General features: G+C 48.6%; 1 annotated feature.

Annotated features, from left to right (window-relative positions):
• Nucleotides 9,312-9,812: an enhancer, noted in NCBI's record as "H3K4me1 hESC enhancer chr7:75429150-75429650 (GRCh37/hg19 assembly coordinates)". NCBI's record gives its function as "activates a minimal SCP1, AML or CMV promoter by ChIP-STARR-seq in naive H9 embryonic stem cells {active_cell/tissue: H9 hESC(naive)}" and the evidence as "EXISTENCE:reporter gene assay evidence [ECO:0000049][PMID:30033119]".

Here is a 17,763-nt window from a genome sequence, read left to right as displayed (position 1 = left end):
TGTTATTGCACAAGGAGTTATTATGGGTATTAGGAGGCTAAAAAAATGATACACGATGATGTCTTGCTTCAAAGAATTAGAATTATAACATGAACACACTCGTGAATCAAGAGCACTATGGGTTCAAAGCCAATTCTGCTTTACAAGTTGCATGACCTTGAAAGAGAAAAACTCTTTTTCTATGCTCGCGACAGTTTTGACACCAAATATGTAAGTTTTCCACACCATGCAGCTTTCCAATTCTCTGGCTGAGTGCAGTGGCCCATGCCTGTAATCTCAGCACTTTAAGAGGCCAAGGTGGGAGGATCTTGTGAGCCCAGCAGTTCAAGACCAGCCTGGGTAACATAGGGAGATCCTTTCTCTACAAAATAATAATAATAATAATAATAATAATAATAAATTTATTTATTTTGAGACGGAGTCTTGCTCTGTCTCCCAGGCTGGAGTGTAGCGGTATGATCTCAGCTCACTGCAACCTCCACCTCCCAGGTTCAACCAATTCTCCTGCCTCAGCCTCCCAAGTAGCAAGGACTACAGGCACATGCCACTGCATCCAGCTAATTTTTGTATTTTTAGTAGAGATGGGTTTCACCATGTTGGCCAGGCTGGTCTCAAACTCCTGACCTCAAGTGATCTGCCCGCCTTGGCCTCCCAAAGTGCTGGGATTACAGGTGTGAGCCGCTGCGCCCAGCCTACAAAAAATTAAAAAGGTAGCTGGATGTGGTGGTGGTGCAAGCTACTTTGGAGGCTGAGATGGGAGGATTGCTTGAGCCCAGGAGGTTGAGGCTGCAGTGAGCTGTGATCACGCCACTGCACTCCAGCCTGGGCAACAGAGCGGGACTTTGTCTCCAAAAAAAAAAAAAGAAAAGAAAAAAAATGGGTGCATGATCAGAGGGGCATGGATGGTGGCTCACGCCTGTAATCCCAGCACTTTGGGAGGCTGAGACAGGCACATTGCTTGAGCCCAGGAGTTTGAGACCAGCCTGGGGAATATGGAAAATCTCATCTCCACAAAAATAAAAATAAAATTAAAAATTAAAAAAAGTGCATGATTTAGCAGAGGACAATCAGAGCTCAAACCACTGGGAAGTGGCATGAGACCCTGTCATGGAGAAAACTCGCAATTGTCTAGAAGAATGTTCTCCCAAGCTGGGAAAGAGCCGAGACCAAAGAACTCAGAGAAGTCCAGCCTGGCGAGTAGGTGAGTGTGTGAGGATTTACATATAGGGACTCCTAGCTAGCAGCAGGACCACTGCAGAGATCCACCCCGCTACCCATCTCTATGCTGCTTTGAAGCTAATTTTCTGGCTCTTTGCCTATTGTATGCAATGAGACTGTCTGCCTTGGCTATGTTCCCGGATATGCTCTGGGACTTTTGGGTTCTCCGCGACACCTGCCCCTTGGCTCAGCACCATGGCCTGGGAGGTGAGGTTTAAGCAGCAGACATATAAGGGGTCCCAATCCAGACCTCAAGAGAGGGTTCTTGGATCTCACACAAGAAGGAATTCAGGGTGAGTCCATAGAGTAAAGTGAAAGCAAGTTTATTAAGAAAGTAAAGGAACAAAAGAATGGCTACTCCATAGACAGAGCAGCCCTGAGGGATGCTGGTTGCCCATTTTTTATGTTTTTTTCTTGATGATATGCTAAGCAAGGGGTGGATTATTCATGCCTACCCTTTTTAGACCATATAAGGTAACTTCCTGATGTTGCCATGGTGTTTGTAAACTGTCCTGGCGCTGGTGGGAGAGTAGCAGTGAGGACGACCAGAGGTCACTCTCATTGCCATCTTGGTTTTGGTTGGTTTTAGCCAGTTTCTTTACCACAACCTGTTTTATCAGCGAGGTCTTTATGACCGGCATATTGCGCCGACCTCCTATCTCATCCTGTGATTTAGAATGCCTTAACCATCTAGGAATGCACCCAGTAGGTCTCAGCCTTGTTTTACCTAGCCCATATTTAAGATGGAGTTGCTCTGGTTCACACGCTTCTGACACATATACTTTTTTTTTTTTTGCACTCCAGACTAGAGCACAGTGGGGCAATCTCGGCTCACTGCAGCCTCCGCCTCCCAGGTTCAAGCTATTCTCTGCCTCAGCCTCCTGTGTAGCTGGGATTAGAGGCATGCGCCACAACACCTGACTAATTTTTGTATTTTTAGTAGAGACAGCGTTTCATTATGTTGGCCAGGCTGGTCTCAAACTCCTAGCCTCAAGTGATCTGCCCACCTCAGCTTCCCAAAGTGCTGGGATTACAGGCATGAGCCACCATGTGTGGCCAACATATACCCTTAAATAACCTGGTGGGGATCCATCAACCTACAGATCCATCCTCCTCGGAAGTACACACCCACTCCATCAGTCTTTGCCAGCTGTGCGTGAGGGGTGGGCTTTCAGCAAGTGGGAGCAGAGTAAGTTCCCATGGTTAAAAAAAAGCCCCCAGGCACAGGGAGCCACATACTGGCAGCCAGGAGTCTGCAGAGCACACAGAGGCCCAGTAGTAGGCACTGCATATACAGTAGCTACTAAAGCTATTGTAAGTCTAATGCAAAGCAGAATAAGTAGCAATGCTAAACAATACACAGCAGGGGACATTCTGATGGGAAGAAGGAGCCTGCAGAACCAGCTTCACAGAGTTGGCACCTGAATGGTGACTTGGGTTCCACCCTGGAGAGAGAGCATGTTCCTAAAGAGGGAGGAGAGCCAGAGCATTCAGGGATGAGACTGAAATACAGACAGTGTCCCAACTGCATGTGACAATAGGACTCTCACCACAGCCTCTGCAGCATTCAGCCTGGAGAGCCGGTGCTTGGTCCATAGTGTAACCATCCAGTGCATTCATTTTGCCCACTGCCCAGATAAAGCCAATTTATCAAGACAGGGGAATTGCAACAGAGAAGGAATTTAATTCATGCAGAGCTGGCTGTACAGGAGACCGGAGCGTTATTGTTACTCAAACCAGCCTTCCCCAAAGTTCAGAGACTAGGGTTTTTCAAGAATAGTTTGGTAGGCAGTGGGCTAGGGAATGGGAGCTGCTGATTGGTTGGGGATGCAATCATACAGGTGTGGAAAATGGTCCTTTTACATTGAGTCTGCTTCTGGGTAGAGCCACAGAGGAGTCACTGGTCTGGGTGGACTCATCCAACAGTCAGAAATGCAAAAGTCTGAAAACACATCTTTTTTTTTTTTTTTTTTTTTTGGACATGTCTTGCTCTGTCCCCGAGGCTGGAGTGCAGTGGCACAATCTTGGCTCACTGCAAGCTCCGCCTCCTGGGTTCACACCATTCTCCTGCCTCAGCCTCCTGAGTAGCTAGGAATACAGGCACCTGCCATCACGCCTGGCTAATTTTTTGTATTTTTTAGTAGAGACGGGTTTTCACTGTGTTAGCCAGGATGATCTCGATCTCCTGACCTCATGATCCACCTGCCTCGGTCTCCCAAAGTGCTGGAATTACAGGTGTGAGCCACCGTGCCCGGCCTGAAAACACATCTTCAAAGGCCTATCATAGGCCAGGGGCAGTGTCTGTCACCTATAATGCCAGCACTTTGGGAGGCTGAGGCGGGCAGATCACTTGAGGTCAGGGGTTCAAGACCAGCCTGGCCAACATGGTGAAACCCAGTCTCTACTAAAAATACAAAAATTAGCCAGGCGTGGCAGCATGCAGCTGTAATCCCAGCTACTCAGGAGGCTGAGACATAAGAATTCATTTGAACCCAGAAGTCAGAGGTTGCAGTGAGCTGAGATCATGCCACTGCACTCCAGCCTAGGTGACAGAGTGAGACCCTGTCTCAAAAAAAAAAAACAAAAACAAACCAAAAAAAGTCTATCACAGGTTCTGCAATAGTGATGTTATCTACATGAGTAATTGGAGAAGTTGCAGATCTTGTGACTTCTGGAACAATGGCTGGTAACTCGCCTAAATCTTGCAGAATTCAGGCCCCTCTCATCCTCCTAACCTTGTGGTCTTTCTTGTGTTTTACAAAGGTGGTTTAATTTGGGGGAAGGGCTATTATCATTTAAACTATAAACTAAATTTCCCCCAAGTTAGCTTGGTCCAAGCCCAGGAATGACCAAGGGCAGTTTGGAGATTAAAGGAAAGATGGGGGTTGGTTGGGTCAGCTCTTTTTCACTGTCATCATTTTCTCACTATTATGGTTTTTGCAAAGACAGTTTCAGTAGCTGCCAGCTTCCCTATTCTCCCCACTTTTCCAACTCAGAACCAGCCATAGAAAGCCAATGATGCCAGGCGCAGTGGCTCACGCCTGTAATCCCAGCACTTTGGGAGGCTGAGGAGGGTGGGTGGGGGGGATCACGAGGTCAGGAGATCGAGACCATCCTGGCTAACATGGTGAAACCCCGTCTCTACTAAAAATACAAAAAAAATTAGCCGGGCCTGGTGGTGGGCGCCTGTAGTCCCAGCTTCTCGGGAGGCTGAGGCAAGAGAATGGTGTGAACCTGGGAGGTGGAGCTTGCAGTGAGCCGAGATAGTGCCACTGCACTCCAGCCTGGGCAACAGAGCGAGACTCCGTCAAAAAAAAAAAAAAAGAAAAGAAAAGAAAGTCAACGATACAGACGTGCATTGCTCAAGGGTTATATGAGAAATGTGTTATTATATGATTTCATCATTGTGCAAACATCAAGTGGACTTACACAAAAGTAGATGGGCTAACCTCCTACACACCTAGGTTAGATGGTCTAGCCTATTGCTTCTGCACCCACCTTTGCAAAAATTAAAACCAAGGAAATTATAAGACCGTGAGAGAAATCTGACATGGCTGACTCCATCTTGCTTCTAGCCTCACAGGTTGGCTGTCTTTGCTCATTCCTGGGCATGGGCCACGCTAACTTTGAGAGAAATTTAGTTTATAGTTTAAACGGTAATAGCCCTTCCCCAAAACTAAACTGTTCTTGTAAAACTAATGAAAGGTGATCAAGTTAGGGCCGGGCACGGTGGCTCATGCCTGTAATCCCAGCACTTTGGGAGGCCGAGGCAGGTGGATCACCTGAGGTCAGGAGTTCAAGACCAGCCTTACCAACATGGTGAAACCCCGTCTCTACTAAAAATGCAAAAAAGATTAGCCAGGCGTGGTGCCGTGTGCCTGTAATCCCAGCTACTCGGGAGGCTGAGGCAGGAGAATCACTTGAACCCAGGAGGCGGAGGTTGCAGTAAGCTGAGATCACGCCACTGCACTCCAGCCTAGGTGACAGAGTGAGACCCTGCCTCAAAAAAACAAACAACAACCAAAAATACCCTCCAATCCCTGAATTCTCAGGGAGACTGATTTGAGTAATAATAAAACTCTGGTCTCCTTTACAGCCAGCTCTGCATGAATTAAACTCTCTCTCTTGCAATTCCCCTATCTTGATAAACTGGCTCTGTCTAGGCAGCAGGCAAGGAGAACCTATCGGGTGGCTACACTCCTAGGCTACAAACCTGCACAAGCATGTGACTACTGAACACTGGAGGCAACTGCAACACAATGATAAGTATTTGTGTATCTGAACATATCTAAACATACAAAAGGTAGAGTATAAATTTAGTATTATATCTTATGGGGTGGGGCCACCGTTGTATATGTGGTCCATCAGGCTGGGTGCAGTGGCTCATGACTGTAATCCCAGCATTTTGGGAGGCTGAAGTGGGTGGATCACGAGGTCAGGAGTTTGAGACCAGCCTGGCCAACATGGTGAAACCTCATCTCAACTAAAAATACAAAAATTAGCCAGGTGTGGTGGTGCACACCTGTAATCCCAGCTACTCAGGAGGCTGAGGCAGGACAATCGCTTGAACCCAGGAGGTGGAGGTTGCATTGAGCTGAGATTGTGCCACTGCACTCCAGCCTGGGTGACAGAGTGAGACTCTGTCTCAAAAATAAAGAAATAAGTAAAACAAAGCACCCCGTGCCTTCCCTCTTTCCTACTGCAAAGTGTTCCCTCTCCCCTGCCTGCCTCTGAGTCTCTTCAATGGATGGAGGCTGACCCTCTTGCTGTAGCAAGCTCAGAGTGAGTAGTGTGTTAGTTTTCATTTGGGTGGTCTTCATTTATTTTCCCAGAGGTTGTATCGTATGGTGTCTATACTCCAGCCAGGGGCCTTGAGAGGATTGAAGCAGGCAATGCAGAAGAAGAGGGTAGCAGGCACTTGGGAGTGTGGGGAAGCTGGCACTCTGTTGCACTACCAGCTAGAGTGTCTACTGGACCAGCCTCTTTGGAGGACAATCTAGTAACATCTGCTAAAACGCTTAACACACATATCTGTTGACCCAGCAACTCCACTTCCAGAAGGGAACCCTATGCAAATGCACAGAGATGCATGGGCAGGGAGGTTTATTGCAGTAATATCGGTAGTTGTGGAAAACTGGCAACAAGCTCATTTGCCCATTCATAGATGACTTGATAAAGATCTTTTTTTTTTTTTTTTTTTTTTTTTTGGGATGGAGTCTTGCTCTGTCATGCAGGCTGGAGTGCAGTGGTGCGATCTTGGCTCACTGCAACCTCCGCCTCCCCGGTTCAAGCGATTCTCCCGCCTCAGCCCCTCCCTGAGTGGCTGGGATTACAGGCACCTGCCACCACGGGCTAATTTTTGAATTTTGTAGAGACGGGCTTTCACCATGTTGGCCAGGCTGGTCTCGAACTCCTGACCTCGTGATCTGCCTGCCTTGGCCTCCCAGAGTGCTGGGATTACAGGCATCAGCCACCACGCCCTTCCAAAGATCTATTTTTAAATGAAAAAAATCAAAGTGCACAAGAGTATATACTGGATGATACTATTTGTGCAACAAAAAAGATATACATATGATTAGTAATTTGCTGGACATACAAACTATCAAGAAACGGGGTCCCGCTCCAGACCTCAGGAGACGGTTCTTGGACCTAGTGCAAGAAATAATTCAGGACAAGTCCATAGAGTAAAGTGAAAGCAAGTTTATTAAGAAAGTAAAGTTATACAGAATGGCTACTCCATAGGCAGAGCAGTGTCATGGGGTGCTCGAATAAGCATACGTACAGTTATTTTTTGATTCTATGCTAAAGAAGGGGTGGGTTATTCATGAGTTTTCAGGGAAAGAGGTAGGCAATTCCTGGAACTGAGGATTCCTCCCCCTTTTTAAGACCATATAGCGTAACTTCCTGACGTTGCCGTGGCATCTATAAACTGTTATGGCAGTGGTGGCAGTGTCTTTTAGCATGCTAATATATTATAATTAGGGTATAATGAGCAATGAGGAGGATCAGAGGTGACTTTCATCGCCATCTTGGTTTCAGTGGGTTTTGGCTGCCTTCTTTACTGCAATCTCTTTTTTTGTGTTTTTTGAGATGGAATCTGACTGTCGCCCAGGCTGGAGTGCAGTGGCATGATCTCGGCTCACTGCAACTTCTGCCTCCCGGGTTCAAGCGATTCTCGTGCCTCAGCCTTCTAAGTAACTGGGACTACAGGCGTACACCACCACACCCGGCTAATTTTTTTTTTTTGTATTTTTAGTAGAGACGGGGTTTCACCATGTTGGTCAGGCTAGTCTTGAACTCCTGACCTCAGGTGATCCTCCCACCTCGGCCTCCCAAAGTGCTGGGATTACAGGCGTGAGCTACCATGCCCAGCCTTGACCAACTTCTTTACTGCAACCTGTTTTATCAGTGAGGTCTTTATGACCTGTATCTTGTGCCGACATCCTGTCTTATCCTGTGACTTAGAATGCCTCACATCCTGGGAATGCAGCCCAGTAGGTCTCAGCCTCATTTTACCCAGCTCCTATTCAAGATGGAGTCACTCTGGTTCACACACCTCTGACAGGATGGCAATTCAGGACTAGGATCTGGGAGAGAGAATTTTTTTTTTCTTTTTTTTTTTTTTTGAGACGAGTTTCGCTCTTATTGCCCAGGCTGGAGTGCAATGGTGAGATTTCAGCTCCCCACAACCTCTGCCTCCCGGGTTCAAGCGATTCTCCTGCCTCAGCCTTCCGAGTAGCTGGGATTACAGGCATGTGCCACCACGTCCAGGTAATTTTGTATTTATTTATTTATTTATTTTTTTAGTAGAGACAGAGTTTCTCCATGTTGGTCAGGCTGGTCTCGAACTCCCAACTTCAGGAGATCCACCCACCTCGGCCTCCCAAAAAGTGTGGGGATTACAGGTGTAAGCCACCATGCCCAGCCGAGATATACTTTTATTAGTGCGTTTTCATGGTGTTTGAGCTTTTTACTATGTGCATTAACCACTTTTATGATAAAAAGTCAGGGAAGCTGATGATGTGATATCCATGCCTCTTTTTATTGGGCTGCCCCAGTTGGTGTGCTCCTGATGTTTTCCCATCGCCAATAGTATCTCCATCTCTGGACTGGGGTGCCTTATACCAAAGGCTACTCTGCTATGACAGACCAGAAATGCCAGGGAATTAAAACCCTCAGGGGGAACCCAGTGCAGTGGCTCACACCTGTAATCCCAGCACTTTGGGAGGCTGATGTGGGTGGATCACTTGAGGTCAGGAGTTCGAGACCAGCCTGGTCAACATGGTGAAACCCCGTCTCCACCAAAAATACGAAAAAAATAGCCAGGTGTGGTGGTGGGTGCCTGTAATCCCAGCTACTCGGGAGACTGAGGCAGGAGAATTGCTTGAACCTGGGAGATGGAGGTTGTAGTGAGCCAAGATTGCATCACTGCACTCCAGCCTGGATGACAAAATGAGACTCTGTCTCAGAAAAAAAAAAAAGAAATATCTATTTCATAGGTGGGCTGTGAGGATAATTTAGGCAATTAATGCATGAGAAGCACTAAGCCCAATGCCTGGCTCATGATAAGTCTCCATAAATGTTAACAGGAGAATATCCAAGCTCTGCTGGGAGGCAGAGGGGCATGTTGGTCCTGCTATACCCGGGGCATCTGGCAGACACTGCTATGGCCATTCCGGCAGGCTCTGGGCCCCCCGCCTCCCCCGTGTCATTTTTCTAGCAGCCACGGATGCCTCTGGATAAAAAAGGCACCAGTTGGGCCGGGAGTGATGACTCACCCCTGTAATCCCAGCACTTTGGGAGGCCGAGGTGGGCTGATCACGAGGTCAGGAGTTCGAGACCAGCCTGGCCAACATGGTGAAACCCCGTCTCTACTAAAAATACAAAAATTAGCCAGGTGCGGTAGTGGGCGCCTGTAGTCCCAGCTACTTGGGAGGCTGAGGCAGGAGAATCACTTGAACCTGGGAAGCGGAGGCTGCAGTGAGCTGAGATTATGCCACTGCACTCCAGCCCGGGCAACAGAGCAAGACTCCGTCTCAAAAAAAAAAAAAAGCCACTGGTTGGAATGACGGCCTTTGGGGCACTTGAACTGTCCACCAGACAGCCTGGCCTGCCCTTGCCTGGCCTTACAACAGAACATGAGCCTTGGATATGCACGGCCAGTCGATGCGTGTGGAGATCATACGCTGACCACCCTGTCGTGCGTCGGGGCAGGCCACCAGCATGATGACCCGTCCACAGAGTCACCACACTCTTTCTTGAGCCACTTTGTGAAGGAGGAATCTAAAGATGGAGGGGGTGTCGGGGGTTGGCTGTGGTCAGGGAGGGTCTGGGCCCCGTCTGTAGCCAAGTTAAGCCAAAACTGGCCCATGTTTGGGGGGAGTCCTCTTTTGTCCCCAGGTAAACTTGTCACATGACTCATGAAAAATGATTTTTTTTTTTTAGGGTCTCCCTGTCACCCAGGCTGGAGTGCAGTGGTGCAACCTTGGCTCACCGCAGCCTCCAATTCCCAGGCTCAAGCGATCCTCCCACCTCAGCCTCCTGAGTAGCTGGGACCACAGGCGTGCACCACGACACCCGGCTAATTTTTGTATTTTTTGTAAAGACAGAGTCTCACTATGTTGCTCAGGCTGGGCTCAAACTCCTGGGCTCTATCGATCTGCCCCCCTCAGCTTTCCAAAGTGCTGGGATTACAGGCATGAGCCACACTGTGCTGGGACAAGAACTGATTTTAGTGTGCTGTAGTAAATACAAGGCTGGTGTATCACCAGGTACCATTGTAACCCGAGGCTAGGAGGGGAAAGAGCAAACATGAGTCCTTGAGCACAGTGGGTGAGAAAAGGAAGGAGAGAGACACACAAAACAGCAGTTCTCAACCCTTCCTGGGCTTCAGAGTCAGCTGTGAAGCTTAAAAAATGCAGATTACTCCGGGCGTGGTGGCTCATGCCTGTAATCCCAGCACTTTGGGAGGCAGAGGCAGGAGGATCACCTGAGACCAGGAGTTCGAGACCAGCCCAACCAACATGGCGAAACCCCATCTCTACTAAAAATACAAAAATTAGCTGGGCATGGTGGCGGGCGCCTGTAATCCCAGTTACTTGGGAGGCTGAGGCAGGAGAATCGCTTGAACCCGGGAGGCAGAGTTTGCAGTGAGCCGAGATCGCACCATTGCACTCCAGCCTGAGCAACAAGAGAGAAACTCCGTTTCAAAAAAAAAAAAAAAAAGTTACCCAGGTGATTGCGATGTCCAAGCAGGGTTGACAGACTTTTCTACACCGGGAGACAACGAACTGTGAACAACCCAGGGACCCAGGGCTTCATGCAGTTGGAAGAGGTCCAGGGAGAAGTGCTGAGCTGGGTTGGGTATCTTGACTCTGAGCCCTTGCCAGGTAAGTGTGGCAGCTGGTGGGCACAGTTCTGGTCTCAGTCACTTCTTCCTCCAGGTGGCAGCTGGAACTGCCAGATAAAGAAAGGTCAGCATAAGGTCTTATCTTGTTCGAAGCCTTTGAACTTTTCAAAGCTTTCAACTCCTCGCTTCCCCTCCTCCTCTCCTCCTCCCTGGCTTTTTGTCCTCTCTCCACCAACCAGCCTTCCTGCAAGGGATGCCAAGCCTCCATCCATCTCTTGATAGAACATGCTTCTAGAGAGCCATGCAGTGTTGGGCTTCCCTACCTAGTAAATCCCAGCTTATAATTTTTTTTTTTTTGAGACAGGGTCTCGCTCTGTCATCCAGGCTAGAGTGCAGTGACATGATCACAGCTCACTGCAGCCTCGACTTCCTGGGCTAAAAAAAAATCCTCCCACCTCAGCCTCCCAAGTAGCTGGGACCACAGACACGTGCCACCACGCCTTGCTAATTTTTGTATTTTTAGCAGAGACGCGGTTTCACTATGTTGCCCAGGCTGGTATCGAACTCCTGGCCTCAAGCCATTCACCCGCCTCAGCCTCTCAAAGTGCTGGGATTACAGGTGTGAACCACCCCACCTGGCTTCCCAGCTCATCAATTCTTTCTGAGACGCAGTCTCTCTCTCTTCTTCCCATCCCCATGTCCTTCTGGGAAGTATACTGCTGGGAGAAGTTGCCAGAATGAATGTTTTTTTTGACCGAGAAAGATGTTTTGCTGTCAGAACTGCTGAAATTCTATCCTGGCTCTAGGTCCCAGCCCTTGCAAAGTTATTGATTCTGAAGAATTCCATGACCTTGTTTCTCTAGGTCAAACCTCTCTATTAAAAGGGTAGTTATACTATCTCACTTCCCAAAATTACAGACCTGTTCATTTCCAGGAAGCCCCTTGAGAACGCATGGGCCTGGGCACAGCAGCTCAAACCTGTATTCCCAGTATTTTGGAAGCCAAAGCAGGAGGATCACTTGAGGCCAGAAGACGAGTCTTACTATGAGCAATATAGTGAGACCTTATCTCTATTTTAAAAAATTAGCCGGGCATGGTGGCACGTACCTGTATTCTCAGCCTCTTAGGAGGCTGAGGCAGGAAGATTGCCTGAGCCCAGGAGTTGGAGGCTGCAGTGAGCCATGACCGTGCCATTGAACTCCAGCCTGGCAACAAAGCAAGACTCTGGCTGGGCATGGTGGCTCTTGACTGTAATCCCAGCACTTTGGGAGGCCGAGGCGGGCGGATCAGTTGAGGCCAGGAGTTTGAGACCAGCCTGGCAAACATGGCAAAACTCTGTCTCTACTAAAAATGCAAAAAATTGCCACATGTGGTGGCATATTCCTGTAGTCCCAGCTACTCGGGAGGCTGAGGCAAGAGAACTGTCTGAACCTTGGAGGCGGAGGTTCCAGTGAGCTGAGATGGTGCCACTGCACTCCAGCCTGGGCGACAGTGTGAGACTCTGTCTCAGAAAAATCAAACAAAAAAAAAGCGAGCCTATCTCTAAGAAAACAAAAGAACTTATGGAAGTTTCCTTCTTCTTTTTTTTTTTTTTTTGAGATGGAGTCTCGCTCTGTCGCCTAGGCTGGAGTGCAGTGGTGGTGAACTCAGCTCACTGCAACCTCTGCCTCCCAGGTTCAAGCGATTCTCCTGCCTCAGCCTCCTGAGTAGCTGGGACTACAGGCGCCCACCACCATGCCTGGCTAATTTTTTTTGTATTTTTAGTAGAGACGGGGTTTCACCGTGTTAGCCAGGATGGTCTCGATCTCCTGACCTTGTGATCTGCCCGCCTTGGCCTCCCAAAGTGCTGGGATTACAGGTGTGAGCCACCGCGCCTGGACTGTTTTGTTTTGTTTTGTTTTTGAGACCAAGTCTCCCTCTGTTGCCCAGACTGGAGCGCAGTGGCACGATCTCGGCTCACTGCAACCTCTGCCTCCTGGGTTCAAGCAATTCCCGTGCCTCAGCCTTCCCAGTAGCTGGGATTACAGGCACATGCCACCATGCCCAGCGGATTTTTTAGTAGAGATGGGTTTTCACCGTGTTGCCCAGGCTGGTCTCAAACTCTTGAGCTTGGGCTATCCACCCAACTGGGCCTCCCAAAGTGCTAGAAATACGGGCGCGCCCGGCCAGAAGTTTCCTTCTTAGAAAGCTGTACGTGGCCCTGTGTGATGGCTCGTGCCTGGTATCCTAGCACTTTGGGAGGACAAGGTGGGAAGATGCTTTGAGCCCAGGAGTTTGAGACCAGCCTGGGCAACACAGGGAGACCCCCATGTCTAGAAAATTAAAAATAAAAAAAAAAATTATCAGGACATAGTGATGTGTGCCTGTGGTCCCAGCTACTTAGGAGGTTGAGGCAGGAGGATCGCTAGAGTTCAGGAGTTGGAGGCTGCAGCGAGCTGTGATTGCATCACTGTACTCCAACCTGGACAACAGATCAAGACCGTGTCTCATCAAAAGAAAGGTGGTCATTTGGGTCTTCCAGTCGCTTATTCTGCCTGAGATACAGGCAAGATTTAGAGGAAATTATTCTGTTACTGACCGTAGCTGAGTAGGGGAGACTAATACTCCCCGAATGCTCAGTGTAAGCAGGCCAGCAAGAGGACCCCAGACCCCTCCTCCCGTGGCTCCTACTAAATCCCACCTTCTGCCTTTTGCCACTAGTTTTTTTTTGAGACGGAGTGTCACTCTGTTGTCCAGGTTGGAGTGCTTTTCAGCCTCTAAAAAGGCATTCCCTGGAAGTCTCTCTCTCCCCAGCCTTCTAACTTCTGAATAATCTCAAGCCCAAAGGAACATTCAGTTCTTGCTATGGGTCATGCCCGGTCACGACCTTGCTTGGGGAAACATCTCTCAAGACTCAGAATGGGGAAGAGCTGCGCTTCTCCCAAGCAACTGGCAGTTCGTTGTTATGTTCTCGAAGCTGGTGGGATGGGCTGCATTTCCCTTTTTTTATTGGCCAATTGAAAGTTTGGAAGGGAATTTGCTGACTTTTGCTAACCCGCAGATGCCTCCCCTTATCTATCTAGCTGCTATTTGCCCTTGGCTCTGATATGGTCCTGTAACTACAGAGTAGTTTTAGCTTCGGGACAAAGCCTGGCGGAAGCCACCCTGAAGGTTCATTCTCAGCGTTAAGGGTTGGGGGGTAGGACTCTGAGACTGTCAGAGGCAGGACAAGGCACAGGCATGACACAGACCCAGCTCTGAGCCTTGGTTCTGCCATCCATGAGTTTTGTGGCCTTGAACAAACCACAGTTTTCTAGGCTGTAAAAGGGGATAAGAAAACCTCCCTAGGCCGGGTGTCATGGCTCATGCCTGTAATCCCAGCACTTTTGGGGGCCGAGGCAGGTGGATCACTTGAGGTCAGGAGTTCGAGACCAGCCTGGGCAATATGGTGAAACCCTGTCTCTACTAAAAGTACAAAACTTAGCCAGGCGTGGTAGTGCATGCCTATAGTCCCAGCTACTTGGGAGGCTGAGGCAGGAGAATCGCTTGAACCGAGGAGCTGGAGGCTGCAGTGAGCCGAGATTGCACCACTGCACTCCAGCCTGGGTGACAGAGGGAGACCCTGTTTCAAAAAAAAAAAAAAGAAAGAGAAAAAAAGAAAGAAGAAGGCAAGAGAGCAAGAAAGAAAGATAGAAAGAAGAAAGCAAGAGATCAAGAAAGAAAGAAAGAAGAAAGCAAGAGATCAAGAAACAAAGATAGAAAAAGAAAGAGAGAAAGAAAGAAAGAAGGAAGGAAGGAAGGAAAGAGAGAGAAAGAAAGAAGGAAAGAAAGAAAGAAAGAGAAATAAAGAAACCACTCTCCTAGAACCGCTTTCAGGGTAAATGGATTAACTGGTAACAAACAAAAAAGTTTGTTTTTCTTCCAACTCCAGGAGATACGGTTTTTTAGTTGTTTGTTTGTTTGAGACAGGGTCTCACTCCGTCACCCAGGCTGGAGTGCAGTGGTGTGATCGTGTCTCACTGCAACTTCAACCTCCTGGCCTCAAGCGATCCTCTCACCTCAGGCTCCCCAAGTAGCTGGGACTACAGACATGTGCCACCATGCCCAGCTGATTTTTAAGATTTTGTAGAGACAGGGTTCCACTATATTGCCCAGGCTAGTGTTGAACTCCTGGGCTCAAGTAATCCTCCTGCCTCAGCCTCCCAAAGTGCTGGGATTACAGGTGTGAGCCACGGCGCCCGGCCGAAACATGTTTTTATTCTCCTGATTCGGCTTGGTCTCTGTTGCACACAAGCCAGGATGCTGCTTCCTCCAGGAAGAGCTTCCCAGGGCTGGGGAACCCCTCCTAACACACTGTGCCTCCTCTGGCTCCCCTCACTAGCTCCCCATGTGTAGGTCTCACTGGGACAGCAGACAAGGGAGTTTCTTTACATCCACTCCTTACTTCTCTCTTTTTTTTTTTCCTTTTTTCTTCTTCTTTTTTTTTTGTTTGAGATAGAGTCTTGCTCTGTTGCCCACGCTGGAGTGCAGTGGTGCGATCTCGGCTCACTGCAACCTCCGCCTCTCAGGTTCAAGCAATTCTCCTGCCTCAGCCTCCCAAGTAGGTGGGATTACAGGCACGTGCCACCACACCTGGCTAATTTTTGTATTTTTAGTACAGACAAGTTTCACCATGTTGGCCAGCCTGGTCTCAAACTCCTGACCTCAAGGGATCCACCCACCTCAGCCTCCCAAAGTGCTGGGATTACAGGTGTGAGCCACTGCACGCGGTCTCTCTTTCTCTTTCTCTCCCTTCCTTCCTTCCTTCCTTCCTTTCTCTTTCTCTCTTATTTCTCTCTCTCTCTCTTTTTCTTTCTTTCTTTTTTTTATTGACAGAGTCTCACTATGTCGCCCAGGCTGGAGTGCAGTGGCACAATCTTGGCTCACTGCATTCTCTGCCTGCTGGGTTCAAGAGATTCTCCTGCCTCAGCCTCCCGAGTAGCTGGGATTACAGGTGGGCACCACCACGCCCAGTTAATTTTTTTATTTTTAGTAGAGACAGGGTTTCACCATATTACCCAGGCTGGGCTCGACTCCTGACTTCAAGTGATCTGCCCACCTAGGCCCTCCAAAATGCTGGGATTACAGGTGTTACCCACCTCACCTGGCCCGCTTTCTTTTCTTTCTTTCTTTTTCTTTATTTCTTTCTGTCTTTCTTTTCTTTTCTTTTCTTTTCTTTCTTTCTTTCTTTCTCTCTCTCTCCCTCCCTCCCTTCCTCCCTTCCTTCCTTTCTTCTTCCTTTCTTCCTTCCCCTTCCTTCCTCCCCTTCCCCTTCCCCTCCCTCTCTCCCTCTCTCTCTCTCTCTCTCTTTCTTTCTCTCTTTGTTCTTTCTCCACTTATGCTCAAATTCTATACTCACCTTTCTTAAGGACAGGGATGGTGTCCTGTCCACCACGGTGTCTCCAGAGCCTTGGACATTGCTGGGGCTGTAAGAATTCAGCAAACATTTGGCTGGATGCAGTGACTTATGCCTGTAATCCCAGCACTGTGGGAGGCTGAGGTGGCCAGCTCACTTGAGGTCAGCAGTTTGACACCAGTCTGGTCAACATGGTGAAACCATATCTCTACTAAAAATACAAAAATTAGCTGGATGTGGTGGTGCGCACCTATAGTCCCAGCTACTCGGGAGGCTGAGGCAGGAGAATTGCTTGAACCCAGGAGGTGGAGGTTGCAGTGAGCCGACCTGCACTCCAACCTGACAGAGCGAGACTCCATCTCAAAAAAAAGAAAAAAAGAACGAGCAAACATTTGCCACATAAATACATTCCAGAACCCTGTGCTGAAGGGTTATGGAGACAAAAGGAGGCTTCATGCTGGGCCTCCACATCCCTCTGTCCCTCTCTAGTATTGTGTCCTTACAGCAGCCAGACTCATCTTTATCAATGAGTCCTCTCATCGTGTGACTCCCCTGCTTAAAACTCCTTACTGTTGGCCGGGCCCGGTGGCCCATGCCTGTAATTCCAGCACTTTGGGAGGCCAAGGCAGGCAGATCACTTGAAGTCAGGAGTTCCAGACCAGCCTGGCCAACATGGTGAAACCCCATCTCTACTAAAAATACAAAAATTAGCCGGGCATGGTGGTGGGCACCTATAGTCCCAGCTACTTGGGAGGCTGAGACAGGAGAATTGCTTAAAGCCGGGAGGCAGAGGTTGCAGTGATCCAAGATCGCACCATTGCACTCTAGCCTGGGTGACAGAGCAAGACTCCATCTAAAAAAAAAAAAAACAAAAAACAAAACAAAACCTCTTTACTCTCTCCCTGTTACACTTATTTATTTATTTATTTATTTATTTATTTATTTATTTATTTATTTATTTGAGATAGGGGTCTTGCTCTGTTGCTCAGGCTGGAGTGCAGTGGTGTGACCACAGCTCACTGCAGCCTTGAACTCCTGGGCTCCAGCAATCCTCCTGCCTCGGCCTCCCAAGTAGCTGGCACTACAGGCATGTGCCACCACGCCCGGCTAATTTTTGTATTTTATGTAGAGATAGGGTCTCACTACATTGCCCAGACTGATTTCAAACTCCTGGGCTCAAGGGAGCCTCCCGCTTGAGCCTCTTGAGTAGCTGGGACTACAGGCGTGCGCCACTATGTCTGGCTAATTTTTATTTTTTATAGAGATGGGATCTCACTATGTTGACCAGGCTGGTCTTGAACTTCTGGGCTGAAGCAATCCTCCCACCTGGGAGTGCTGGGATTACAGGCATGAGTCACCCATGCCTGGTGGCTTCTTTTCTTATAAGGACACCTGTCATATTGGATCAGAGTCCCATCCTTATGACCTCATTAAAACTTACAGCCAGGCATGGCGGCTCACGCCTGTAATCCCAGCACTTTGGGAGGCCGAAGTGGGTGGATCACCTGAGGTCAGGAGTTTGAGACCAGCCTGGCCAACGCGGTGAAACCCCATCTCTGCTAAAAATACAGAAAGTATCTGGGTGTGGTGGCGCATGCCTGTAGTCCCAGCTACTCGGGAGACTGAGGTAAGAGGATTGCTTGAGCCAGAGGAGGCAGAGGCTGCAGTGAGCTGAAATCGTGGGTAACATGCCTGGGTAACACAGCAAGACTCTGTCTCTAAATAAATAAATAAAAATAAAAACAAAGTAGCCAGGTGTGGTGGTGCATGCCTGTGGTCCCAGCTGCTTGGGAGGGTGAGGTGGGAGAATCACTTGAGCTTG

This window comes from Homo sapiens, chromosome 7 (genome assembly GCF_000001405.40).
Source record: "Homo sapiens chromosome 7, GRCh38.p14 Primary Assembly".
Lineage (NCBI taxonomy): Eukaryota > Metazoa > Chordata > Mammalia > Primates > Hominidae > Homo > Homo sapiens.
The sequence above is the reverse complement of the archived record's forward strand: the minus strand, read 5'-3'. Positions and strand labels throughout refer to the sequence as shown.